Source organism: Homo sapiens, chromosome 1 (genome assembly GCF_000001405.40).
Source record: "Homo sapiens chromosome 1, GRCh38.p14 Primary Assembly".
Lineage (NCBI taxonomy): Eukaryota > Metazoa > Chordata > Mammalia > Primates > Hominidae > Homo > Homo sapiens.
Window position 1 is genome coordinate 225,867,700 of NC_000001.11, and position 25,756 is coordinate 225,893,455.

The 25,756-nt window shown below is 52.5% G+C and overlaps 2 protein-coding genes across 8 annotated transcripts in view, besides 11 other annotated features; both read right to left on the reverse strand.

The window, feature by feature from the left end:
- The window catches only part of TMEM63A (transmembrane protein 63A), a 41,825-nt gene extending 27,144 nt beyond the window's left edge, over nt 1–14,681 (reverse strand). For 3 of the 7 annotated variants that reach the window (XR_007065257.1, XR_949163.4, XM_047435144.1), the window contains exons 1-5: nt 9,696–9,895; nt 6,589–6,668; nt 4,288–4,354; nt 3,377–3,414; nt 189–331 (exon numbers count right to left, since the gene is read on the reverse strand). Coding sequence is in view for 5 of the 7 variants with exons in the window: in XM_047435144.1 (XP_047291100.1) it covers nt 189–331; nt 3,377–3,414; nt 4,288–4,354; nt 6,589–6,668; nt 9,696–9,881 (514 nt within the window). In the remaining 2 variants the exon portion in view is untranslated. Of the gene's footprint in view, nt 1–188; nt 332–3,376; nt 3,415–4,287; nt 4,355–6,588; nt 6,669–9,695; nt 9,896–11,520; nt 11,712–14,604 lie in introns of those variants that run through there. The other 4 variants (XM_047435146.1, XM_047435145.1, NM_014698.3 and 1 more) reach the window with 3 other exon arrangements.
- Nucleotides 12,287–13,237: an enhancer, noted in NCBI's record as "H3K4me1 hESC enhancer chr1:226067686-226068636 (GRCh37/hg19 assembly coordinates)". NCBI's record gives its function as "activates a minimal SCP1, AML or CMV promoter by ChIP-STARR-seq in naive H9 embryonic stem cells {active_cell/tissue: H9 hESC(naive)}" and the evidence as "EXISTENCE:reporter gene assay evidence [ECO:0000049][PMID:30033119]".
- Nucleotides 14,090–14,209: a silencer, noted in NCBI's record as "silent region_1861". NCBI's record gives its function as "represses an Ori minimal core promoter by ATAC-STARR-seq in GM12878 lymphoblastoid cells {active_cell/tissue: GM12878}" and the evidence as "EXISTENCE:reporter gene assay evidence [ECO:0000049][PMID:35858748]".
- Nucleotides 14,770–14,929: a silencer, noted in NCBI's record as "silent region_1862". NCBI's record gives its function as "represses an Ori minimal core promoter by ATAC-STARR-seq in GM12878 lymphoblastoid cells {active_cell/tissue: GM12878}" and the evidence as "EXISTENCE:reporter gene assay evidence [ECO:0000049][PMID:35858748]".
- Nucleotides 15,440–15,489: an enhancer, noted in NCBI's record as "active region_2632". NCBI's record gives its function as "activates an Ori minimal core promoter by ATAC-STARR-seq in GM12878 lymphoblastoid cells {active_cell/tissue: GM12878}" and the evidence as "EXISTENCE:reporter gene assay evidence [ECO:0000049][PMID:35858748]".
- Nucleotides 15,550–15,599: an enhancer, noted in NCBI's record as "active region_2633". NCBI's record gives its function as "activates an Ori minimal core promoter by ATAC-STARR-seq in GM12878 lymphoblastoid cells {active_cell/tissue: GM12878}" and the evidence as "EXISTENCE:reporter gene assay evidence [ECO:0000049][PMID:35858748]".
- Nucleotides 18,583–21,447, reverse strand: LEFTY1 (left-right determination factor 1). The gene is made up of 4 exons (NM_020997.4): nt 21,118–21,447; nt 20,087–20,333; nt 19,700–19,939; nt 18,583–19,391 (listed from the first exon to the last, which is right to left on the reverse strand). The coding sequence occupies exons 1-4, from the start codon at nt 21,365–21,367 to the stop codon at nt 19,028–19,030; spliced, it is 1,101 nt and encodes a 366-aa protein (NP_066277.1). The 5' UTR covers nt 21,368–21,447; the 3' UTR covers nt 18,583–19,027.
- Nucleotides 19,446–20,162: an enhancer, noted in NCBI's record as "H3K27ac-H3K4me1 hESC enhancer chr1:226074845-226075561 (GRCh37/hg19 assembly coordinates)". NCBI's record gives its function as "activates a minimal SCP1, AML or CMV promoter by ChIP-STARR-seq in naive H9 embryonic stem cells {active_cell/tissue: H9 hESC(naive)}" and the evidence as "EXISTENCE:reporter gene assay evidence [ECO:0000049][PMID:30033119]".
- Nucleotides 22,316–23,033: an enhancer, noted in NCBI's record as "OCT4-NANOG-H3K27ac-H3K4me1 hESC enhancer chr1:226077715-226078432 (GRCh37/hg19 assembly coordinates)". NCBI's record gives its function as "activates a minimal SCP1, AML or CMV promoter by ChIP-STARR-seq in primed H9 embryonic stem cells {active_cell/tissue: H9 hESC(primed)}" and the evidence as "EXISTENCE:reporter gene assay evidence [ECO:0000049][PMID:30033119]".
- Nucleotides 23,034–23,751: an enhancer, noted in NCBI's record as "H3K27ac-H3K4me1 hESC enhancer chr1:226078433-226079150 (GRCh37/hg19 assembly coordinates)". NCBI's record gives its function as "activates a minimal SCP1, AML or CMV promoter by ChIP-STARR-seq in primed H9 embryonic stem cells {active_cell/tissue: H9 hESC(primed)}" and the evidence as "EXISTENCE:reporter gene assay evidence [ECO:0000049][PMID:30033119]".
- Nucleotides 23,034–24,467: a biological region, named in NCBI's record as "H3K27ac-H3K4me1 hESC enhancers GRCh37_chr1:226078433-226079150 and GRCh37_chr1:226079151-226079866".
- Nucleotides 23,490–23,784: a silencer, noted in NCBI's record as "tiled region #2218; K562 Repressive non-DNase unmatched - State 8:EnhW". NCBI's record gives its function as "represses a minimal TATA promoter and a strong SV40 promoter by Sharpr-MPRA in K562 cells {active_cell/tissue: K562}" and the evidence as "EXISTENCE:reporter gene assay evidence [ECO:0000049][PMID:27701403]".
- Nucleotides 23,752–24,467: an enhancer, noted in NCBI's record as "H3K27ac-H3K4me1 hESC enhancer chr1:226079151-226079866 (GRCh37/hg19 assembly coordinates)". NCBI's record gives its function as "activates a minimal SCP1, AML or CMV promoter by ChIP-STARR-seq in naive H9 embryonic stem cells {active_cell/tissue: H9 hESC(naive)}" and the evidence as "EXISTENCE:reporter gene assay evidence [ECO:0000049][PMID:30033119]".

Here is a 25,756-nt window from a genome sequence, read left to right on the forward strand (position 1 = left end):
GCCCCAGTTTTAGCCTAGGTTTGCTCCAGATCTTTAATCAGATAGAAATGTTCAGAGTCACCCTGAGACCATCTTACATCTGAAGTGGGGCATGACTCCTGGGGTTCTGGTCTACCACAGTGAGCCCTTTCCCTAGGACTGCCACTCTGCCCCATTACAACATAGACAAGGGTGAGGAGGGTCATTACCCAGCAAGTCCCCTGAGAGGTTGACAGGCAGGATGACACACAGGGACAAAAAGCTGACCACCACCAACAGGAAGATGATGTGCCTCTGGAAGGACAGGTAGTGGATGGCGTCCTCCCCACACCATTCCAGGATCTGGTCATCACTGGCCAAGACACAGAGGAATCTTAATGAGCAGTGGAACAGGCCTCGGGGCTCTGCATGAAGTGTCTCATATCATCCTCACCACACTCTTATGAGATGGTTCGATCGCTATCCCCACATTTTTGTTCACATATGAGGAAATAAAGGCACAGGAAATTTGCATAACTTTCAGGATCTCACATGATATAAATTCCAGAGCCCGTCTTAGCCCCTGTACCATACTCGAGGTAAAGGAATACCAGCACTCCATCTGATGTTGCTAGAAACATTTGTGCCCAAGTTACGTGTGTGGGAAAGGTACGTAAATACAGTCATCTCACAGCCCTGTCCTGCTTCTAAGAAATCACATTCAGAATAAAGTTAGGGCTGGGCGCAGTGGCTCACACCTGTAATCCCAGCACTTTGGGAGGCTGAGGCAGGTGGATCACCTGAGGTCAGGAGTTCGAGACCAGCCTGGCCAACACGGTGAAACTGTCTCTACTAAAAAATACTAAAAAAAAAAAAAAATTAGCCAAGTGTGGTGGCACATGCCTATAATCCCAGCAACTCAGGAGGCTGAGGCAGGAGAATTGCTTGAACCTGGGAGGTGGAGGTTGCAGTGAGTCGAGATCCCACTACTGCAACTTCAGCCTGGGTGACACAGTGAGACTCCATCTCAAAAAAGAAAAAAAAAAAAAGAATAAAGTTGGGAATATGCCCAGGCCCCAGGCCCCCACCTGTTTCCTGTCTCCCCCTCAGATGGAGACCTGAGGTGGAGCCAAGAGTCCCAGTCCATCCTACCACCCTGGCCTCCTCCCTGTGTCCCCAGAGATGGGGAGGTGACTTGCTCCACCCTTTCCCACCCTTGGAGTGCTACACTTGGAGGCTCTGGGTCCACTGGGGACTCAGAAATTTCCAGGTTCACACAAGCCAGACTTCTGTGCTACAGAGGGAGAAGGGGCAGGGCACTCTGCTCTTTCCCACTCCCTGAAGGCGCTACTTCTAGGCTGGGAAAGCAGTGCTTTGGGAAGAGCTCAGGGGGGCAAGGGCTGCATCATAAAAAGGCAGATGTGAAAGATGTCAGCGTGGGCTTTGCAGTCAGACCACAGTGTAATCCAGCGCAGCGGCCTCCACCTGAGGGCAGGTCATGGAGCTTACCCGCCTCTGACCTCGAGCAAGGAAACTGCCCACTGCCTACCTCATCAGCTTAGCAGGGGCTCAAGAGATAATAAGCATCAAACACCTAGTCCTGTACGTGGTATCAGCAGATGCTCAGAAATATGCCTGTTCATATGAGTCCTGATTACTATTTATCTAGAGGACAAAGCTTTGCAATTAACTACATTGTTCTCATTTCTAAATAAACTAACTCGCCTCCTGCTTCCTCCTGTTCCAGACCAGAGTTGACTGTCTCCCATGGGGCTCTGTCTCCTGCCAGTTCCCCTGGGAACAACTCCTACCAAACCGAACATTTACAACATGCTCTCACATGTATTCATTCCTTTGAATTAGGCTGAGCATATGTTATCCTCAGCCTCCTTTTACAGTTGGGAAAACTGAGGCCCAGAACATTTCATCCTTATAACCACCATATTTCATTATATAACCACCACATTTCATCAATTCTAAGATATCATTTTCATATTTCTTTTCTTTTCTTTTTTTTTTTTTTTGAGACAGTTTTGCTCTTTCACTCAGGCTGGAGTTGCAGTGGGGTGATCTTGGCTCACTGCGACCTCCGCCTTCCGGTTTCAAGCGATTCTCCTGCCTCAGCCTCCCGAGTAGCTGGGATTACAGGCACCCGCCACCAAGCCTGGCTAATTTTTGTATTTTTAGTAGAGACGGAGTTTCACCATGTTGGCCAGGCTGGTCTTGAACTCCTGACCTCGTGATCTGCCTGCCTCAGCCTCCCAAAGCGTTGGGATTACAGGCGTCAGCCACCGCAGCCGGCCATATTTCAACTCCTCTGAAATGAGGTGTACGCTATCGTTATAGTTGATGGTAGCTTAGCTGACAACATTTTCTTGTTCTTAGTGCTATATAAAATAACATGCACCTGGGCCGGGCGCGGTGGCTCATGCCTATAATCCCAGCACTTTGGGAGGCCGAGGCAGGCAGATCACCTGAGGTCGGGAGTTGGAGATCCGCGTGACCAACATGGAGAAACCCTGTCTCTACTAAAAATACAAAAATATTAGCTGGGCATGGTGGCGCATGCCTGTAATCTCAGCTACTCTGGAGGCTGAGGCAGGAGAATTGCTTGAACCCGGGAGGCGGAGGCTGCGGTGAGCCGAGATCGTGCCATTGCACTCCAGCCTGGGCGACAAGAGCGAAACTCGGTCTGAAAAAAAAAAAAACATGCATCTTACAACAATAACTTCTTAGATTCAATGGAATATGGCAGCAGGTGAGAACCAAGACTCACATCAGTCCCCGCCCCCCCCCGCCTCCTGGCTCCCTACACCACATGAGAGGTAACTAACTGGCTCTTAATCACCTTTAATAATCTTTTAGCTTTCTCTCCATGGGCCCCATTGAAAAAAAGAAAACTTGTAACCAAATGAATTGAATGTATTATATTTCTTCACTTTTCACTAATTCAAAGACATGCAAACCTGCCTATGAGAGCGTCCATTGACATCTAATTGGTGTTAAATATTAAGTTGAATAATTAAAGCAAAAAAATAGCTTTAATTAGTTTGTGCAGTATTATGAGAGATGAACATATGATTTCCACTGAATATGTTGAAATAAATAAAGTTCATCTCTATCTTCAAGAACTCTTGGGATCCAGCTCAATTTGGGAAGCCCCAGGCTCCAGCAGGCACTGTGTGCCCTCCAGCATGGAGGCTCCAATCCTACAGGCCTCCTTCCTCTGCCCCTGACCCCAGGGGCTGCCTGGTCACCTTGATTCTCAGCCCTCACATACTGCTTTGGACATTAACTAAAAAGTATCTAAGAGACACCATCTTAAGATCAAGCATCTTGGCTCTTGCCTCTTGACTGGCCAAACACCCAAAAAAACCAGCCCAAAGGCCCCCCAGCAGCTGCCCCCGGGTGTACTCACTGCAGACGGAAGATGGCAGTCAGCCAGGGACAGCATCCCTGGAAACGGAGAGAACAGGGATTAGCTTCCAACATTTGTGTCTTTGAGAGGCAGATGTAACCATTGTCTTTGACATTAAATAACCATTTAACCTCCTGTTGTATAAAAAACAGTGCTTTTATCCCATATTCAGCAAGCATGAGCCCAGTACTTCACAATATACACCACATGCCTGGAACTCTTGCTAAAATCTCCTGACAACTTCGTGGTCAAATCACAAAACTTAGATCAAAAGCTGATGAAAGCTCAGGGCAGCTCTGGGCAAAGTGATGTGGGCTGCTGTTTGATTGTTTACAATCACTGACCAAGAGGTGAGGCAAAAGAGAGGAAACAAGCCTAATGGATTGGACGGTCCGCTGGAGTGGGTGTTAGGGGGAAAGGGTGTCTGCAGGTTTTATTGTCCTTCACATCTCTTAAACTTAATACCCCTAAAGCTGGGCTGTTATCCAGCTAGGAAAGACAAATATTTGTTCAATAATTCATTCAACAATGACTAAACACCTACTATGCATCAGGCGCTGGGAAACAGGGCTGGAGAGGGCAGGGCTCCTGCCCACATCTGGCTCATAATCCAGCCAGCAAGTCCATAATTAACTGTCATACAAAGCCATAGGTGTAAGAGAGAGAAGTGCTGGGGAAGCCCAAGGGATTCCGTACCCCTTCCTGCCTGCAAATTCATCCAGTCTCAAGGTCCCGGGTCATCCAGCTGCCATCCCTCCTGTGGTATTTCCCAAGTTCAGGTGCCTTCGTCGATGCAGAAAAGCACTTTCTCCAGCACTTGCCGCTCAAGATCCGCCCTGCTCCCTCCCCAAAACCATGACTGCCAGTCCCCACCCCCTGGCCATGACCACAACTGGGCCTTAGATACCAACCAGCTCATTTTCAAAGTCTTGTTGACCTGAGGAGGAAGTCGATGACAATCTCTGAAATCTGGACTCGCTAGAGACACAAAAAGAAAAAAAATGACAGATAATTCTTAGAAAAAAAAAAAAGCCAAACAAGTCAAAAAGATCACATCCAGTATTTTGCTGCCTCTTGGAGCTCAGAACCAAAGCTACCAGCCCTCGATGGCTGGGACAAAATATAACTCACTCTGTGAAAGATAGAGACAAGGACAATGACCATTCCCAGGCATGGTATAAAACTCTATGTTATACGGGATGAATAGCAAGGGGTCAACACCCAGAAACCACACCACTGTGACTCGTCTAGCTAAACTGACTTCAAAGTGTTGCCTATTTATAGCATATTTCCCTATATTATCAAATAAAACTTGGAATAAATACTACATTTTATCAAATCTAAGATACCACTGGTTGTAATTTGCACAATTATTTTATGAAACACTAAAGAAAAAATGCTGCCAAATAAACTATGACCACCCATCAATAACAAGATGCCTTCCAATTTCAGAGATGAGAAAATGTCAAAACATATGTTTTAGAGTGGACAAATGATGGCACTTTATATTGTGGCATTTTAATCAGATCCTTTCTTGCGAGTACCCCCATAAAAACACCCCATGCGCTATAAATCTGAGGTGTTTGCAATACGTATATGTGACTGCTTTTCTTCTTTTTTTTTTTTTTTTTTTTTTGAGACAGAGTCTGGCTCTGTCACCCAAGCTGGAAGTGCAGTGGGGTGATCTTGGCTCACTGCAAGCTCTGCCACCCGGGTTCAAGCAATTCTCTGCCTCAGTCTCCCGAGTAGCTGGGCTTACAGGCACCCGCCACCATGCCTGGCTAATTTTTGTATTTTTAATAGAGATGGGGTTTCATCATCTTGGCCAGGCTGGTCTTGAACTCCTGACCTCATGATCCACCCCCGCCTCGGCCTCCCAAAGTGCTGGGATTATAGGTGTGAGCCAACATGCCTGGCTGTGACTCCTTTTCTCTAGTCTCCTATTCCTGGTTCTACTGCCCCCCTACTAAAGACAAAACACATGACGAAACTTAACTTTAAAAGCCTTTGCAGAGACACTGTCCCTTTTGACCTTCACCGTGACCTCATGGGGAAGAGAGGACAGAAGGAGACCGACCCTATTAAGTTTGGGGCCTTGACCAAGGTCGCACAGCCAGGGATACAGCAGGGCCCTCTGATCCCCAGGTGGTCTTTTCAACCAGAGTACATGGCCCCACTTCCAGCTGAATGTGCCGTAAAGGCATCAGATGTCCCAAAAGTTTCTCTCCAACAGTCCAAGGTCATCATCACCTCAGGCTTTAGCAAATCCCAGAGCAGGGATCACGGGGAAAGATGGTGCATTTTCAGGTACACCTCCTCTTCCCAGTTCAAAGGACCCTGCCGCACAGGCCACATGTCAGGAGGCGCCCGAGAGTGGAGGGTCTGCCAGAGCCCCTCTGGGGCTCTGGGTGGCAGCTGGGGCCAGTCCCTGAGTTTTCATCACTCACTTCCTATTACCACATCTGACACAAGATCCTGGGTGCAAACAGCCAGCTGGAGCTGGAACGTCAGGTTGTGCAGATCCAGAATTCACTGTCACCCTTCAGGCGACATGAACAGAGAATCCTGGAGCCCCACGCAGAACTGGAAGGACCTGAAGCCTGGCCGAGGGAGCCTGTGCTTTGTAACAGACTCATCCAAACCCGGCGCTGACCTGGCAGGAGGGTGGGGCAGTTCCCTGATGGCTCTGCTGCCCTTGATCCTCACTCAGCCCTGGCCCCAAGCTAATTAATTTCAAAGATGATCACTTAAAAATACTCAAGGTGAGAAAGAAAATGGGCATCCTCTTCAGAGGATGACGAAAGCCCTCAGTATCTAAAGCAACCAGTCTGAAGCCAACAAGGTTCATAGCCTTGGCCCAACAGAAGCCCTGAGGGAGCTGAGCATCTGAGCCTGGGTTTTTGTTTTTGTTTTTTGTTTTGTGAGCACAATGAGGGTAGCGAGGCTGACCTCATGGGTCTGTGGTGAAGAGCAAAGAGAACAGCTATTGGTACAGGCCAGGTAGATACACTTAATGAACACAATCTCATAGCAGTGTCATGTGTGGGTCCTGCCCACATGGAGGGCTTCATAAGCCCCTAGCCCATTCCAGGGACACACACACACACACTATACACACATATATGCACACACGCACATATACACACTCACGCACATATACACACTCACACGTACGCACACGCATGCTCACAGCCTAGGCGATATGTCTTTACCTGTCTGCTTCTGACACCAGGGCAATGCGGCCATAGTCCCAGAATCTTCTTCTTATAATAGAAAACACCAAGATTAAGAACTAAAAACAGAAAAGAAACCAAGTAAAAGCATATTGGATGGCTTCTCATTAGAAGACACAGCGGTCTCAGGGGTAAAGCCCACCTGCCCGCACTCAGCAGGGCTAGAAGGAAAACACCCAGGCCCAGAGAGGGCACTGAAGTGCCCAAGGCCATGCAGCTCAGTAGCCCGGATGCTTTGCTCACCCCCTTCACCAGGCTCCTGTCACCTGTGCCCACGCCACCAAGGCTGCCAGCGCTGACGCCAAGCTTGCCTGGAGCCTGCCTAGTTCTGCACGTCAGCCCTGTCTCTTGCTCTCAAGGCAGCGGTAACACCACAAGGCCCAGTCTCGGGCCCTGCTCTGCCTTCAGTGGCCCCGAGCAGGAGGGTAAGGTCTGGCCCCAGAGCAGCCCCAGGAACCAGCATCCTTCTTCACTTTACAGAAAATTTTTTTCTTTCGGCTCACTGCAACTTCCCCTCCCGGGTTCAAGCAATTCTTGTGCCTCAGCCTCCAGAGTAGCTGGGACTACAGGTGCCCGCCACCACACCCAGCTAATTTTTGTATTTTAGTAGAGACAGGGTTTCACCATATTGGTCAGGCTGGTCTCGAACTCCTGACCTCAGGTGATCCACCTGCCTCAGCCTCCCAAAGTGCTGGGATTACAGGCGTGAGCCACCATGCTGGCCAGAAAATTTCATTTTAAATTACAGAACCAAGGTAGCAGAGCCTCCTCAGGCTGAGCCAGAAACGGTCAGTTTTTTCCTCTGAGTTTGATTCCCCTGAAGGCAGGCCCCGCAGGCCCTGCAATCCCCCAGCAGAGAGCATGCATGCAGGCAGCAAGGCACCACGAGAACCTGTGCTCGGGCTGGCTTGGCCTCCGTAAGCTGGGACACCTCAGCAAGCTTGTGTCCAATGGCAACCTCAGGGCTGGACTAAGCCGCTTAGCTCTAGACATCTGTACACTCTAGACTGTCCTCACTCCCCACAGTCCACCTTGGCAGGCTCCATGCCATGTTCCTGCCTCTCTTCCCTCCCTAGACAGGGTCCCTCTCTTTGAGGTTCAGGGAGGTAGAGAAATACATCTTAGTAAGCACATCCCTGCCTGCTCTGATCAGAAACGGGGGTTTTGAAGGTAGGCTTTGTTTTCCTAAAGGAAATCCAGAAGACCTGAACCCCAGAGGCACTGAGTTCTCGTGGAATTTTCTTCAGGTGAATCAGGAAGTTGGTGACATATTTTCAAAGGCAGGTGAGTCATGTTGTAGGAAAACCACGAAACCTGCTCAGCAGGTGCCTGCCCTCTCTGTCCACAGCGGCTGCCGCCCTGGCCTGTGCAGTGCAGACACTTCCCACAAACCCATGCTCTCCAGGGCCCTCTGGCTCTTATGTGTCCCCCCTCCCCCACCCCCAAAACTTACTGCAATAAAAATCCACCCCTGGCCGGGCACCATGGCTCACTCCTGTAATCCCAGCACTTTGGGAGGCCAAGGCTGGTGAATCGCTTGAGCTCAGGAGTTTGAGACCAGCCTAGGCAACATGGTGTGAAATCCCATCTCTACCAAAAATACAAAAATAACCCAGACACGGTGGCATGTGCTTGTAGTCCCAGCTATGCAGGAGGCTGAGGTGGGAGGATTGCTTGAGCCCAGGAGGAGGAAGTCGCAGTGAATTGTGATTATGCCACTGTACTTCAGCCTGGGTGACAGTGAGACCTTGTCTCAAAAAAAAAAAAAAAAAAAAAAAAAAAAAAAAAAAAAATTCACCTTCAGCAGCACAATAGAGGGTGACTCTCTTCTCAGCCAACACTGTTGCAACAATACCCACCCAGCCCAGCTAGGGTCCCTGCCCAGGTCCCCCTCTCTGTACTCCTCACCTTGGCCAAACTCTCCCCACCCTGAAGACCCAAGGCCACCCTCCTCTAATCCCACCAATTCTGAAATCCACCCCCACACCCCTGCCCACTCCTCCTTGCTACCCTAAGCCACCCTCCCCATGTTCCCCACCCGAGCCTAGTCTCCAGCTCCAAGCAGTCCAAGGATGTTTACTCCATCAGAGCCATCTGCCCCCTTCACTCAGATGGTCTCTGCCACATGTTAGGAGACAGTATCAAGAGGCACTGGCCAGCCCATGGCATTTGTGAAAAGAAGGGGCACTTTAACCCCAATAAATCTCAGCCAGCCAACGTTGAGTCTGCATAAGGAAGAACAATGCCATGGGGCATCTTTGTGAACAAGGAGATCTACGTTAAAGAAAGGCCACCTGCTGAAGGTACGCTCTAAGAATCAGCTTCTAATTCTTTTTTTTGTTTTTTTGGTTTTTTTTGAGACAGCGTCTCGCTCTTGTTGCACAGGCTGGAGTGCAGTGGCGTGATCTCGGCTCATTGCAACTCTGCCTCCCAGGTTCAAGCAATTCTCCTGCCTCGGCCTCCAGAGTAGCCGGGATTACAGGCGCCGACCACCACACCCGGCTAATTTTTTGTATTTTTAGTAGAGACAGGGTTTCACCATGTTAGCCAGGCTGGTCTCGAACTCCTGACCTCAGGCAATCTACTCGCCTCAGCCTCCCAAAGTGCTGAGATTACAGGCATGAGCCACCGTACCTGGCCCAGCTTCTGATTCTTTAAAAACCCCAGGGATGCCAGAGGGGAACAGGAGGTGACACTTGGGAACTGCAGCTGCTCTATTCTAGTCCGTACTCTCCAGTCACATGTCTCAACCCCTTGAGATGACCCTTCCCAAGGGCCTTAAAGATACGACAGGCTGAGAGCTCTGCAATCACGGTAGTAATCACAGGCATAGCTATATGAGTATTCTGGCCTTATCCAAATTCCAAAATTCTCTGAGATAGGAATTATGATCTCCATTTCCGGAGCAGAAAGGGGAGGTGCACAGAAGCTAAGTAACACGCCTAAGTCACAGAGCTGGTAAGCAGCAGAGTTGAGATTTAAACCCAGCTATGTCTGACTTCTCATCTAAGTTTCCCAGAAGGCCCTGGGTGGGGCATTTAAACAAATAACTGAGGCAGTGGGACACGACTCATGAGGGCTCTCACCAGGAAGCAGCTGACGTCTATGAGCAGGACAGTGGGGATGCCACCAAAGGTGACCCCCTGGAGCACGGTGCTGTTTTTGGCCGAGTTGTAGCAATAGGAGTCGTTGGGCCGGTCCCCGAGTCCCAGCTGCTCCCTGATGGACACTGCCTTGGACTGCCACAGCTCCAGGAACGGGGAGTCCATCATCGCGCCTGTCTTCCCTGGAGCACAGGACAACAGGACAAGGCAGACGTTCAGGGCTCAAATTTCTTGCAGGTTCCCACCAGTGCTGGCAGAGCCAAAGGCAGGCGTTTCCCAGGGACTGATCGGGCAGTGAGCCAGCAGCAAGGAGTCCGGGAGAGCCAGACATTGGACCTCTGCGTGCCTGGCAGTGTCCACAGAGAATGGCTGCATTGTGGGACAATCTCAGGGGATCAGATGGTCAGAGTGGATGGCTCATCCAGGACACAGTGGGCAGATCCCCAGAGGGGGCGACATGGAGCAAAGGAGGGACAGAGTTGCTGCAGCTGCTGTCTTAAGAAGTCCTAAAGTTCCTCTAGCCTCGAGGACTCGTGTTGGGAAAGTCACTCCTGCAGAAGCCACTGGCGGATCTAGAGTACAGGCAGAGGAGAGGGAGAAAGGCACACAAAGGCAGGAAGAGGAAAACACCGGGATAAACAACCAGGGAAGAAGGGAACATCCAAGTATTCACGATGGTCCATCCACGAGCCACAGACAACACCTCACTCCCACTGCTCACAGAATGTCAGAGCTGGGACCTCAGAGATGGGTCCATCTGCTATACTTGGAAACCAAGCCTCAGAGGTTTAATAACTTGCCCCAAAGTTAAGGTTAAGGAGCTGGTCAGGGCAGAATTGAATCCCAAACCCAATATCCTGACTCTCAGATGCCACTTCTCTTTTTACTTTGCCACAGAGGAGAAAGTAAAGGGGGTGGTCTAGGGTAGGGACGGGGAGGGAGTCAGGAGTCCCAGGGCCTCCTCAGGGACCTCTGGGTCCCCTAGCTCTGCGCTTTCACACACACATACCCCTCCTGGGTACCATCAGTCTAACTGCAAGGCCCAGCATTTCCAAAGCAAACACTGCTCCAGGCTGGGTTGTTGACCTTTCCTTCCTGAGGCTCCTGGCGCCCCTGGTGAAGCTAATAGAAATCTCCAGTGTCTGTCCCCTGACACCAGAGGACCGGGAGTTAGTGTCCAAGTTCTCATGCTGTGGCTGAAGGGCCAGAACACATATTCAGCCTGGACTTGCTTAAGATCCTACCTGCCCAAATCTGGTAAATCTAGAATTCCCAGGGGATTTTTCTGCTAAGTCTGGTGCTTCTAGCTGTTACAGGGACAAAGATCTTGAGAACAAGAAGAAAAGATATAGAGAACCCAAACAGATGTTTGGATACCAGTAGTGCTGGTGAGGTGTGTATGTTGGGTAACCCCTAGGCCTAGAGTGCTGGGGACAATCACACATGGACACCTACCTACCTACCTACCTACCTACACACACACACACACACACACACACACACACACACACGAAGCACAGGAAGCATGAATGAGTGGAAAGCCCAAGAACATGGGAGCATCCCACAGACAGCCAAGTGACTTTCTCAACCTTCTAAGAGACTTGGCAATGGCTGGAGGTAGTGGGGGTTGTGATGCCAGAGTCATGGGGCTGCTGACTCTGAACAGAGTGTCACAAGAGTGACCTCTGGAACACAGATGTTCTTGGCTTCCCTTTAAAATCCCCCAGTGGCACCACCCAATGGAACACACCAGCCCAACACTTCAAGGCCACCACCTACCCCTCCTCCTTCCTGTCCCCACACTTACCAGACACTAGGGGAAGGAAGGACTGTGGATGGGCCCGTTGGAGAGGTCCTCAGTTGGAGCTGTCTCTGGCAAAGGCAAAAGCAGCCCCAGCCACCTCCCAAGCTGCCAAGGGCCAGGCGTCGGGCCTAACACTCATGTCCTGCAGGGCTTTCCTGACCAGCGAGTCCTGGGGTACCAAACTGTAGACTTTCCTGAAGGATCACAGACACCAAGCATCACATGGGAGCCACCCTTTTCCAGTGTAGGGGTCTGGATGGAAACCCTCCAGCACACACCTGTGTATGCATGCTGCCCATATGGACCTTTAGGTTCTGCCCAGTGGGCTCCCTCCTGCCTTGATCTCTCCCCAAACTCCCAGAACTGGTTCTCCATCCATCAGTGCTCCTCTGTGCGACCCTACTCCTCCTTCCTCGGCCAGCACCACCTGTGGCCCCAGCCTCTCTCCTCTTTGCCAATGGCTCAGGGACCTGCTGGGTCTAGGGGAGCAGCCCTCTCCCACAGAAACCCTGGAGGTTGTGGGCTCACGGTAGGGCCCCAAGCAAAGGACTTCACCTGGGCCCCAAGGGCCAATGCTACTGGGGAGGCTCCCCAGGGTTCCCCAAGAGCTAGAATCAGGAAAAGGGAACACAGCAGCATGAACAAGGAAGGCTTGAAATGTGAAGTGGAAAGAAAAAACATCCCCATAAAATGCTCACAGAGAGAGCATTGTCCCTGGAAAGGGGAGGGTGCTGTGGTGGTGCTGGGAGTGGCATACCCTCGCCAGTGCTGCAGAGGAGAGAGGCCTCTGCGGAGGGAAACACCTGCGGCTCCTCTTCCCCCTCCCTCCAGCCCCAGTCATGCCTCTAAGTTACTTGTCTCTTGCCAAATAGGCTTCCCAGGGTGGTTTGACAAAGTTTGATATGAACTCAGGGAGGTGGCTAGCAAATACTATCAGCCTGAGACGGAGGTAAGGTCAGGTGGCCAGTCCTGTCTGCCCTCTCCGATGAGCACCCAGGTTAGGGTAGAGCTCTGGGGACCCACAATCTCTCTCAGACCTTTCAGCTCAGTCCCAGCCTGTCCCTGCCCATTAGACACATAAAGTCCAGATCCCCCTGAAACAGCTCCGTCCCTCTGGCTCTCCATGGGACAGCTCCTCTGCATTTTCACAAACAGGCACGCTCTGAGCAGGCAGCTGGGAACACAGACACCATGGGACAGTGCTGCCAGGCTGAGGAGAAGGCAGGGGGAGGGGAGCACCCAGCTGGCAGCTGTATAGAGGAGGCCAAACCAGCAGCTAGGCACTGTGGTTGAAGTGGCACTGCCTGGCTGAGAACCCCTGGCAATATTCAGTCATCCTAGATGTATGTGAATGCCTAGCACTTACCTGTGCCTTCCAGAAATTCTCCATTCATCCCCTTATTCCTACTCAATATGCCGAGGGTAGGAAAGCCAAGAATTACTGCTGAGGCCCAAGAGCCAGAGTGGGCAGCAGGTGACTTCACGCTCCCAACCCAAAGTTCAACCCATGTGCAGGCAAGCGTCTGATTGTGGCCAGTGGGAGAGGGCTAAATCCAACAGCTGGTCTAAATTTGCCAAAGTAAACTACCTATGCTAATCCACTGCCAGTCTCCATTGGCAGCAAGGACTGGCCTGGTGGTCAACTTGACAAGCTCTAGAAATACCAGCAGAATGTTGCAGGAAGTATATGGATATTGTTCGTTCTTGCAAGAAGGCCCGTACAAATTCAGGGTAATTTTATCATCACCAAATCTTTCAATCCTGTGATGACAATAGCGAAACTACAAGCAGCTCCAGGCCTTCTGCCTCAGGAGCTAACTCTGGTCTTTCAGATGCAGAATAAGGTTGCAAAGTAAAGTACAAACTTCTCCTTATGGCAACACCAAACAGGACCCAGTAACCTGGACAACTGTTTACCTCCTACCCTGGAGCACAAAGGAAATGACACAGCCCCTGGCTGAAACCAGAGGCAGTGTGGCTCAGGGATTATGTGAGCAGGCTCTGGAGTTAGGGTCTCAGCACCACGCAGTTCAGACAAGCAGCCTAACCACTCTGTGCCTTGGCTTCCTTCGCCAGGAAATGCGAGTGATGACTTTCTCTCACGGAGCTGTTGGGAGGCACAGATCCCAAACAACACCTGTAAAGCACTTAGCCCAGGACCCGGCCCTAGCAAGCAATTAGAAGCTGTCTGCCTTTATTTTAAGTCGCCCCTCCAGCTAATGGGAAACACAAGGGCAGGATCCCACCTGACGTCTTCTCTGTTAGAGCCCAACGAACAGCTAGGAGAGACCTTTGCCCCCACACTAAACAAAGGAGAGGGGCGTGTGAAGGGAAAAGGAGCCTCGGCTTCCGTTCATATCCCCCTTGAAGGCACAGCAGACTTGAGGATGACCTGAGAGGTGTCAAGGGAGGGTCAGTGGGTCCGCCACGCTGTCCACCCCTGCCCTTGAAGAGGACACCACCTGCCTGGGGCTGAATGACCAAGGCCCCTCCAGGGCCTCAGGTAGCTAGTCTTATCAGGTGCTGGAACCTTTGCGGATTTGGTTTCTTAGCAGAGCTCGCCTCACCCTTTCCGCCCCCGCCCTTCCCCCCAGTCCCCGAGTCCCCAGCCTCCCTCCTCAGGACTCCGCCAAGGCTGCAGGAAGTGGTCACCCAGGAACAGCCCGAGGGGTGGCCTCTGCCTTCCTGGCGTCAGGAGAGTCGGACGCTTGGCCCTTTCCCAGCCCGGCCTCGTATAGGGTCCGAGGAGCCCATAGCTGCACTCCTAGTTAGGTGGGAGGTCGGACTCCGCCGACAAATCCCAAAGAGAGGGGTGGGGAAGAAGGAGATACCAGCCCTGAAAGCGAAAAGCCGGAGAGGAAAGTCCTGAAAAGCCGCCAGGAATTCCCAAGGAGCGCAGGGCTGGAATGGAGGCGCTGCCCGGACCCTCTCCTCCCACCCAATCCCGCGTCGTCACCCCCTGCTTGGGGTCGGGGGCTCTGGGGTCTGCGTAGGCTGGGAGCCGTTCCGGAACCGGACACCTGGCGCGCACGTCCCGGGAAAGGCGGAGGGTGCATTGCCCCTCCTCACGCCCCCTGTCCCCTGTACCTGCGGCGGCGGCGTGTCTGGCGGGACCCAGCAGCGCGGGGCGTGTTCCGACCACTTAAAAGTTACAAAGTGAAACTCCGGCGCCTCCTGCACATGCGCAGAGCTGCGGCCACCCCTTTCCCAATTTGGAGTCTTGGCCCGCGGCGGCGCAAGCCTGTACGCAGCTGACTGCGCCTCCCGCGGTGGCCCTCGGCGGTCCTCTGCCCCGGCCTGGCCTCCTGGTCGCCGCTCAGCCCCGCAGCTCCTCCCGGAGGTCTGCAAGCCCCGGACCGGCCAGCTCACGTCCAGGCTCCAAGAAGGGATCCGCCGGGGCGCACCCTCTTCCGTCCCCCGGCACGAGCCCAGTCTCTGGACGCCTCCGGGAGAACTGGGCCAAGCACAGGGTGGTCGCGGCGCAGGGAGAGCATCTGCAAACGTTGGTCCCTGTAGTGCTTTGAATTTCCCCGAAGAGCTCTTAGACCCGCCCCGGGAGAGTGGGGTTGCGGGGGTGGTAGCATGGGGAGCTCAGCAGGATTCAGCCCGCACCTCGGCTCCGGGTAGTCGGGAACCGCGCGGAGCGCCCTGCAAGAGGCCACGGCTCCCCCGCCGCTGTAGAAGGCCGGACCGTGAAAGCCCGGAGGGTCTCCGTTCGGGCAAAAATGTGGGGGCGGGTCGCAGCATTTCCAACGCCCCCTGGGGCTAGTCCATTACTGCTCGAGCCAGGGCCGCCAAGGGCACCTACTCCAGCCCAGGTCCGAGAGCGCGGCATGCCTCCCGGCCGGGAGCCAAATGTTTCCAGGGAGCCGGTGGCCTCCACAACCGGACCGCAAGCTCGCGAGGGCAGGGCCGGCCCGCCGCGCCAGGGACTGCTGGGCGCTGCGCGGGAAGCGAGGCTGGGTTCGGGGAGGACCGCGCGCCCTGGGAATCAAGGAGCAAACCAACCCGTCCGCAGGCCCCTGTTTCCCTATCTGTGAAATGAGTGGTTGGACCAAAGCTTCCTCTCAGGTCCCTTCCAGCACCCCTCTCTGAGCTCTGAGCAGTCCTCACCCCACATGCATGCCTTTGCAGGTTCTCCGACCTCCCTTCCATTTCTGAGCTTTCATCTTTTTCTGTAACGGCATAAAAATATCCTCCTTATGGCCGGGCGCGGTGGCTCATGCCTGTAATACCAGCACTTTGGGAGGCCGAGGTGGGCGGATCACCTTAGGTCTGGAGTTCGAGACCAGCCTGACCCGCATGGAGAAACCCCGTCTCTACTAAAAATACAAAATTAGCCGGGTGTGGTGGCACATGCCTGTAATCCCAGCTACTAGGGAGTCTGAGGCAGGAGAATCGCTTGAACCTGGGAGGCGGAGGTTGCGGTGAGCTGAGATTTCACCATTGAACTCCAGCCTGGGCAACAAGAGCGAAACTCTGTCTCAAAAAAAAAAAAAAAAAAAAAAAAATTCCTCCTTACCTCCCTGTCCCTGATTCTAGCGCCAGTCTGTGGCTGTCCAGGAGTGGGGTGGGGAGGGTCTCTTCCTGCCTCTCTCAGTTCTTTTCTGTCCCATCTGTCTTTCCCCTTCTCTCCCCAAAGCTCTAGCCACTAGTTATTTTCCAGGGTTTTTCCTCTATGCCCCCCGCCAGTATCATCTCTGCCCTTGTCCCTCCATAGCTGCGCCTGGCCATCCCCCCTCCCTGCTCTCTTACCTCCACATCTGACGGTCTGCAGAGTCCTGGGTGTGGCCCCTGGACTCCCCGTTGGCTCCTTAGACTGTCCCTGTCCAATCTTTCTTCCACTCCCCACTCCCGCACCTGCCTGTCCTCCTTCCTTCCTCAATGAATGGTGCCCCCACCTGTCTGGTCTGTGCCATGGGTCCAGGCAAGTGCAAGGTTCCGGTCTTGGTAATTAGAATGCTGGAGCCACTGACAAAGATTTCAGAGAGAGAAAGGATTTCTAAATTTGTTCTTGAGTAGGTTAAGGTTATTTCAAAATCAAGAGAAGGCCTTGATGGATCGATATGTGAGTTGAGATAGCCACAGCCTTTGTTATGTCAGTTGTGTGAAGTGCTTGTAAAATCACTATTTTATTTTTTAATTTTTAATTAATTATTTACTTATTGAGACACAGTCTCACTCTGTCGCCCAGGCTGTAGTACAGTGGTGTGATCTCAGCTCACTGCAACCTCCACCTCCTGGCTTCAAGCGATTCTCCTGCCTCAGCCTCCCAAGTAGCTGGGATTATAGGCATGTGCCACCACACCCGGCTAATTTTGTACTTTTAGTAGAGACGGGGTTTCTCTATGTTGGTCAGGCTGGTCTCAAACTCCCAACCTCAGGTGATCCTCAGGATTATAGACGTGAGCCACCGCGCCCAGCTGCACAGCTCTTACAGCTATAAATTCCAGATCCTCTGAAGCTTTATTTTCTTCTCTAAGTATAGATGATAATTTTGATCACAGATTTTATTTTGATGCAAGTAGGATTGGAATAAAGCCCAGTCACTATGCCCAGGAAAGTCAAAGTGTCAAGAACAAAAAAATTTCAGTATTGGCCGGGCGCGGTGGCTCATGCCTGTAATCCCAGCACTTTGGGAGGCCGAGGTGGGCGGATCACAAGGTCAGGAGATAGAGACCATCCTGGCTAACATGGTGAAACCCCATCTCTACTAAAAATACAAAAAAATTAGCCGGGCGTGGTGGCGGGCACCTGTAGTCCCAGCTACTCGGGAGGCTAAGGCAGGAGAATGGCGTGAACCCATGAGGCGGAGCTTGCAGTAAGCGGAGATCGCGCCACTGCACTCCTGCCACTGTACTCCAGCCTGGGCGACTCCGTCTCAAAAAAAAAAAAAAAGAAATTTCTGTATCAATTCTGGGAGGGCAGGTACCATAGATTCTAGAATCAGAATGCATTTTATTTTTATTTATTTTATTTTTGAGACAGAATCTCACTCTATTGCCCAGGCTGGAGTGCAGTAGTGTGATCTCAGCTTACTGCAACCTCCGCCTCTTGGGTTTAAGCGATTCTCATGCCTCAGCCTCCCGAGTGGCTGGAATTATAGGCGCACACCACCATGCCCAGCTAATTTTTGTATTTTTAGTAGAAATGCACTCTCACCATGTTGGCCAGGCTGGTCTTGAACTCCTGGCCTCAAGTGATCCGCCCACCTCGGCCTCCCAAAGTGCTGGGATTACAGAAGTGAGCCATCGTGCTGGCCCTGAAAGCATTTTAATCCTAGTTTCATGTATTACCTAACCAAGATCTTTACCAAGTCTTGGCCAACTCAAGCTCCTTCCTTAGTTTTACAATCAGGTTGACCTAATCGCTGTAGAACTTTCTGCTCCTTCCTCAATTTGCAGAGCTTTGATTAAAATGGAAAATTACAGCCGGGCACAGTGGCTTGTGCCTGTAATCCCAGCCCTTTGGGAGACTGAGGCTGCCGAATGACTTGAGGTCAGGAGTTCCAGACCAGCCTGGGCAACATGGCAAAACCCCATCTCTACTAAAAATACAAAAAATTAGGCCAGGTGCAGTGGCTCACGCCTGTAATCCCAGCACTTTGGGAGGCCGAGGCAGGCGGATCACGAGGTCAGGAGGTTGAGACCATCCTGGTTAACACAGTGAAACCCTGTCTCTACTAAAAAATACAAAAAATTAGCCAGGCATGGTGGCAGGCACCTGTAGTCCCAGCTACTCGGGAGGCTGAGGCAGGAGAATGGTGTGAACCCGGGAGGCAGAGCTTGCAGTGAGCCAACATAGCGCCATCTGTACTCCAGCCTGGGCGACAGAGCTGTCTCAATAATAATAATAATAAAAATACAAAAAATTAGCTTGGCGTGGTGGTACATGCCTGTAATCCCAGTTACTCAAGATGCTGAGGCATGAGAATCGCTTGAACCTGGAAGGCAGAGGCTGCAGTGAGCCGAGATTGGGCCACTGCACTCCCGCCTGGGTGACAGAGTGAGACTCTGTCTCAAAAATAATTAATTAATTAAAATAAAATAGAAAATTACAAAATTATAGAATAAAATGTGTTTTATTCATGTTTTACAAAGTCTTTATTATCTGGATTGGGGATGCACAACCCACACTTAACCCCAGGTCTTAGGTCCAGAGTGGTGGTGGAGGACTTTAGCCCAGATCCAGTGACAGGACAAGTAAACAATGACACATTGGGCTTTCTGCCCTCAGGTTACAGTATCTCCACATGTAAGTGCTTAGAATATAGTGCAGTGAATAATAAGAATAGAGAAAACTGAGCAAGGGCTCTCCAGTGGCCAAAGATTCTCATTCCTGAGAAGCAAAAATTAGGTGAGGTAACTTGTCAGAGGAAGCAAATTCAGGGCTCACTAGAGAGCACAGAGCATTTGTCCATCAGCAGTTCAGTCATCGCCAGCTCTCCTGGTACCCTCGAACACTTCAGAAACACACACAAGTCAAGTCCCTCGATGGCTACACTAGGCGCCTATGGCTGGAGCCTCCTTGGCACGAGCGCACCATCCGAGGCACAGCTGCACTTCTGCACCCTCATGTTGGGCAGGCTGACCACCTGGGGCCTGGTCCTGCCTCCCTCCTTGATGCTGACGATCATGGGCAGCGAGTCAGTCTCCGAGGCGATGCACTGTCGAGGCCCCAGAAACGGCCACTTGAAGGCCAGGGCCTCCGGGGGCTGCCGGCAGGTGCCCACACACTCATAAGCCAGGAAGCCCGGGGGCTCCAGCACCCAGTTCTCGGCCCACTTCATCCCCTGCAGGTCAATGTACATCTCCTGGCGGCAGCAGCGGGTGCCCTCGGTCATTGGTGCTTCAGGGTCACAGTCGCCCTGAGCTCTGTGTGGGCAAAGAGAGCAGGGTCAGCGGTCAGCTGGGAGGGCTGAGGTCAGAGGGCGTCTGGGATGGAGATTTATGATCCACCTCTCAACTTCAAAAAGCTGGATGTTTGTGATATAGGATGGACAGCTAGAAATAACTTGAAAATTAATAACCGATATTTACTGAGGATCTCCTAAGAGTCAGAGGAAGAATTGTATACATTGTCTCATTCATTCCCACAGCACTCTGAAAAGTTGTCCATTTCAAAATAAATGTAATTGCCTGTCTCTTTATTCCGGCTTACCAGTTTGACCCTCAGCACCTACCCATAGTCCCCAAGGTCCAGGGTGTGCAGCTCCAGCTGGGGCTCCCCAAGCCCGGCTGGCGCCCCCTGCGAGGCAAAGCGGACCAGCTTGTGGGCGCCGGACGCCAGCGGGCCCAGATGCTCCCTCTGCACCGACACCTGTAGCAGCAGCGGCTGCCGGGGCCGGCTCAGCTGCTGCCAGAAGTTCACGGCCTCGGTCACGTCGAAGGCCTTCCAGCCGCTCTCGTGGACGGACACCAGCCTGAGACATGACACAGAGACCCAGCGCCGCTTGAGGGCGGGGACTGGGACGGGCCCCGAGGACCCCGCACCGCCCCCCCGCGTCCCCGCCCCCAAGCCGGGCCTAGCAGCGCCCTCCCCCTACCCTGCGCGCCCCCGCGACCCCCACCTGGAGTCGATGAGGGAGGTGCGGTTGGAGCCGTCGTCGCGGACGCGCAGCCACTCGACGGTCACCCGGGCCCGGGCGCTGCGCGGGGACAGCCGCCCGTGCCTGTGCAGCGCGGCCTTGGGGACCGGCTCCTGGAAGAGCCGCAGCACGGCCTGCACCAGCTCGCTGTTGGGCGGCAGCCGCTGCTCCATGCCGAACACCAGCAGGTGTGTGCTGGCCTCCAACGCCAGGAACCTGCCGGCCACCTCTGGGGACAAGAGCAGGGTCAGCAGGGCCTCCCCCGACTCCAGGGGAGCTCTGAGGATGGCAGGGCCACTGAGCTGGCAGCCAGGCCAGGAGACACCGGCCCTGTTCTATTTCTGGGGCAAACCCAGTTTACAAATCTTCCTTGGATCTGGGCCTTGTTTAGTAACAATTTCCATCCAGCAGGCAGGGGCGCCTGTGGGACCCTGGCTAGCAAGTTTGCCTCAGCTGAGATGCTGGGAGCAGAATCCTCACCCAGGTGCCTGGCATTGGGTCTAGCTCTGGGCACTGAGGAGCTAGGGAGGCGAGAGGCTGCAGGAGGATTCAGGCCGGCTGCAGGAGGATTCAGGCCCGCTGCACCCCTGACAGCCAGGTATAACCCAGGTTGTCTACTCAAGTGCAGTATTTTTCAGTTACCCAAACACGCTTCTATTTACAATGACTCATTTTGATGTTCACAATGCTGGAAGATGGGCAAGACATAGTTATACCCCAGTTCCATGTGAGCAAATGGTTGTGAGATGATTTTAAAGCAATATGCTCCAAGTAGAACTCAGACCAGAGTGGCAGTACGAAAACAGACCCCCGGAGTCCTGACTGCATGCACCGCTGCATGCTGAGGCCCCGCCATCCTCACAGGCCCGGCCCCACCTCACTGCCCCTTAGACCGTGGCCCTCACTCAGCCTCCCACAGACCTCTGCAAGGCCAGGAGCCCTTTGACACCACCGGAGTGGGCACATCTGACCTGCCCCATGGGACCAGGGGCAGCAGGGAGGGAGGGCCTCACCTCGGAAGCTCTGGCTGAACCTCTTTCCGCGGGAGCGGTCCCCGTGGCTGCGCTGCAGCAGGGCCACGTACTGGGCCCTCACGTGGGTGGGGATGACCAGCTCCTCCATGTCGGCCCTGTCCAGGGTGGGCACCTCTTTGAGCTGCAGCTGCCGCAGCAGGCTGCCCAGGAGCTGCTCCCCGGTCAGGGCGGCCCCGGGGCTGGCCAGGGGCAACACCCAGAGTGCCCAGCAGAGCCACAGGGGCTGCATGGTGCTGCCCTGGAGGAGCAAGAGGCAGAGTGGGGCTGTCCCTTGAGAAGGCTGCAGGAGGGTCTCAGGCAGCTGGATGTGCTGAGAGCCAAGCCTGGGCAGCTTTATAGCCTGGGGTGGAGGGAGGAGGTAGGGAGTGGGGAGGGAAGGAGGGAGGGAGGTCACACCCCTGAGACCTCCTGGAAGCTCACAGCCAGACGAGTCCCTGAGCTGGGAGGAGGGGGCTGTCTAGATAGGGCAAGTCTGTCTGGGCTGTGAACAGCTGGCTACAGCTGTCTATACAATGGTCATGAACCCCTAATGTGGGTTGAGGCCTGACCAGTTAAATTAAAAAGCTCATTTCCTAGAGTAGAGGTGGGGCTCTCGTTCTCTGCAAGAGGCTCAGTTCCCCCAGCTGCTGGTAAGTGGACCTAGAGTCTTGTTCCTTGCTGCAACCAAACAACTGACAGGAACCAGAATGGCTCAGGCAACGCCAGGGCTCTAAGGGCCAATCCAGTCTGCAGGGATGAGCATCCGGGCCCGTGCTCAGAGGGTCCCGGGGCCTCATGAGATCCTGAGCTGGTGGTCCCCAGTTGTGAAACCAGATTTCCCACTGTTCTGGGGGGACCTTCCTAGGCAAGGGAGCCTAGGAGCATTTAGTTCCAACGGGGTTTTGTCCAATAAGGAAGGAGCCTCATCCTCTCCCTCATCCCTGCTGTTCACAGAATTAGAGTTTAGAGTTGAAAGGAATATCCAGGCTACCTTCTCCCCCAATTTTTTTTTCTTTTGAGACAGAGTTTCATTCTTGTTGCCCAGGCTGGAGTACAATGGCGCAGTCTCGGCTCACGGCAACCTCTCCCAATTTTTGAGCTGAAAAAAAACCGAGGCTCAGAGGTGTCAACTTCCCGAAGCTCACAAAGTTAATGATCAATGTCCATATAAAGTCAGGTCTTGCAATTCACAAAGTTCTTGGCACACTCAAATTATTTACAGCCTAGTTTTGATCTATGCCCTAAAGGGAGCCAGGTGGTCTCAATCCAGGTGATCAGGTCTAGGCTGGGGCAGGGGGACAATCCCCCAAGACAGAGGACCCCTATCCTGAATGTGGATTTGTAAGCTGGTTGAAGAGTTTTGCTGGGGAAATAAAACATTTGGGTGATCAGCCAGGGGTAGGGCTACCAGATAAAATACAAGGCACTATTTGGGACATAATTATACCAAAAAAATTATTCATTGTCTACCTGACATTCAAATTTCACCAGAGTCCTATATTTTTATTTGCTAGATCTGACAACGAAAAATAAAACAAATGTGGATTGGGAGACTGTTTACAATGGTCTGAAGTGTTGCCAGGAGGGAGGGCAGCCCCACCCTTTGTCATGCAGAAGACGGAGCCTGGCTTCCCCAACCATCCCCACCTGGGTCTGCCCAGATTGGGCTTGAGATGGTAAAGTGGCCCCAGAACCAGATCTTCTATCTAAGGGAGGAGAGCGGGGCAAGGGAATGAGTGATCCCTACCCTGACTCAGAGCACATTTGGACCTGGCCCTCGGCCCAGAGCTAAGGGCACTGGAGGGCAGTGGTCTGGCCATACTGGGGAGAGGGGGAGGGGGCCCAGGTAGGAGGGTGGATGAGGAGTGGGGCCCTTTGCCCTCGAACACCCTCCTGCCCCTGGTGGGCCAGGATGTGACCCCAACCAGAGGCCAGGTTGCCAAGTGAGAGCCATGGGAAAACATGGGGGTCAGAGGTCATCCTGGGGCCTCCATGGATGGGGATGAGCTGGACTCAGGCCTGGGCTCTGACGTCAGCAAAGCTAAGAGTCCAGGAGTGGAGTGGCTTCTAAGTCAGAGCCCAGCATCTAGGGTCTCCAGGGTGGCTTTTGCCCCCTTCCTGGGCAGGGGCAGATACTTCTGAGAGTGCTCAGGAAATGCCCCAAGGCCAGTCCAGGTGTCCTGGGCTGCCCCAACCCACACCATCAACCTCCCTGACCCCAGGCCTGGGGGCCCATGTGGCTCCTTGGTGGTTCCAGGCACCCCCTGTGTGGGCACTTCCTGTTCTCCCAAAGTAGCTCAGACTCTGGCATCATCAGGGGTCCTTCCCTGGGGCTCTGTCTGGGCTGAGGAGGGTGGGAAACAAACCAGGAATAGGGACCCGTTTCAGTTCATCCAGCACCTTTGTGTGGTGGGCACATCTTGCCAGACAGCAACAACTCAAGCATGGCCTGGGAAGGACCCTTTGTCCCTTGGTGATGTTTGTTCAGTGTTCCAGGCTATGGACCGTGGGAACGGCCAACCTGGATGTTTAATTATGTTTAACTATGAAGAATGTCAGGCCCCTGGCCTGTTACTTGGAACACAGGCTGTACAAGGAACAGAGGTCCATTGTTTTGAGGTAGGTGGAGGCTGCTAAGTAGAGGTTGCTAGATGGAAGTTGCAATGTGGTTTTGGGCTGGGCGTGGTGGCTCACGCCTATAATCCCAGCACTCTGGGAGGCCAAGGTGGGCGGATCACTTGAGGTCAGGAATTGGAGCCTAGCCTGGCCAACATGGCAAAACCTCGACTCTACTAAAAATACAAAAATTACCTGGGCTTGGTGGCAGACGCCTGTAGTCCCAGCTAGTCAGGAGGCTGAGACAGGAGATGCGCTTGAACCTGTGAGGCAGAGGTTGCAGTGAGCCGAGATTGCACCACTGCGCTCCAGCCTGGGCGACAGAGTGAGACCCTGTCTCAAAAAAAGCCAACCAAACAAACAAATGTTGCAATGTGAAGGTTTCTACATGACCTGCACACTTTTCACAAATGGCAGCGGTTGCTCCTGTCCAGCCTGCCGCTCCTGGACTTCCCCCTGTGCGTAAGTCCCTTGAATAAAGCTCATGTCTTGCCTGCTGTCTCTGGGTCTTTTCTTTGGTCTCTCCAAGGTGGTGCCCTCCCAGCTTGCCTGCTTGGGGGTCCAACATGACACCCTTCTTGGCAAGAGTGAGTTCAAACCTTGCTATGCCACTCACATTTACTAGCTGTGTGGCCTCTGGCAGGTTTTCTTTTACTTTTTCAAATTAATTTTTTAATATTATTCTTATTTATTTATTTATTTATTTTTTGAGATGGAGTTTCGCTCTTGTTGCCCAGCCTGGAGTGCAATGGTGTGATCTTGGCTTACTGCAACCTCCGCCTCCTGGGTTCAAGAGATTCTCCTGCCTCAGCCTCCCGAGTAGCTGGGATTACAGGCACCCGCCACCATGCCTGGCTAATTTTTTTGTATTTTTAGTAGAGACGGGGGTTTCACCATGTTGGCCAGTCTGGTCCCAAACTCCTGACCTCAGGTGATCTGCCCACCTCGGCCTCCCAAACTTCTGGGATTGCAAGCATGAGCCACCGCGCCCTGTCATATTTTTAAATTTTTTTTTCTGAGACGGGGGTCTCACTATGTTGGCCAAGTTGGTCTTGAACTCTTGGCTTCAAGCCATTCTCCTGCCTTGGCTTCCCAAAGTGCTAGGATTACAGGTGTGAGCTACCACACCCAGCCACTGGCAGGTTTTCCACATTCTTCAATACAATACGTTTCCACCTATAAAATGGGAATAATGTATTTTTCTTGCAGTGTTTGTATTAATTGAGATGTCTACAGGGTGCCTAGCACACCCTCTTGGTACACACTAGGTGACCAATAAATAGTAGGAGTCTCTTATACTGTTAGTAATTTTTTAAATGTTTAAATTTTTTAAATTGTGTGTTAACATTGTTTCTTTTTTTTCTTTTTTCTTTTCTTTTTTTCTTTTTATTTTGTTTCCTTTTTCTTTTTTGTCCTCTGGTGTTGAAACTGAATTTTTTTGGTTTTGTTTTGTTTTGTTTTTTGTTTTTTTTCTTGAGATGGAGTCTCGCTCTGTCGCCCAGGCTGGAGTGCAGTGGCACAATCTCGGCTCACTGCAAGCTTCGCCTTCCGGGTTCACGCCATTCTCCTGCCTCAGCCTCCCGAGTAGCTGGGACTACAGGCACCCGCCACCGCGCCCGGCTAATTTTTTTGTATTTTTAGTAGAGACGGGGTTTCACCATGTTAGCCAGGATGGTCTGGATCTCCTGACCTCGTGATCCGCACGTCTCCCCCTCCCAAAGTGCTGGGATTACAGGCTTGAGCCACCGCGCCCGGCCTTGTTTTTGTTTTTGTTTGTAATTAATACAAATAGCACAACTTTCAAAAGATAGGAAAGGGAATATGGAAGAATGTCAGTCTCTTTTTGTTCCTCATCTGCACATTTTTATTTTATTTTTATTTATTTATTTTTTGAGACAAGGTCTCACTCTGTTGCTCAGCCTGGAGTGCAGTGGTGCCATCTCAGCTCATTGCAGCCTCAACCTCTTGGGCTCAAAGGATCCTCCCGCCTCAGTCTCCCGAGTAACTGGAACCACAGATGTGC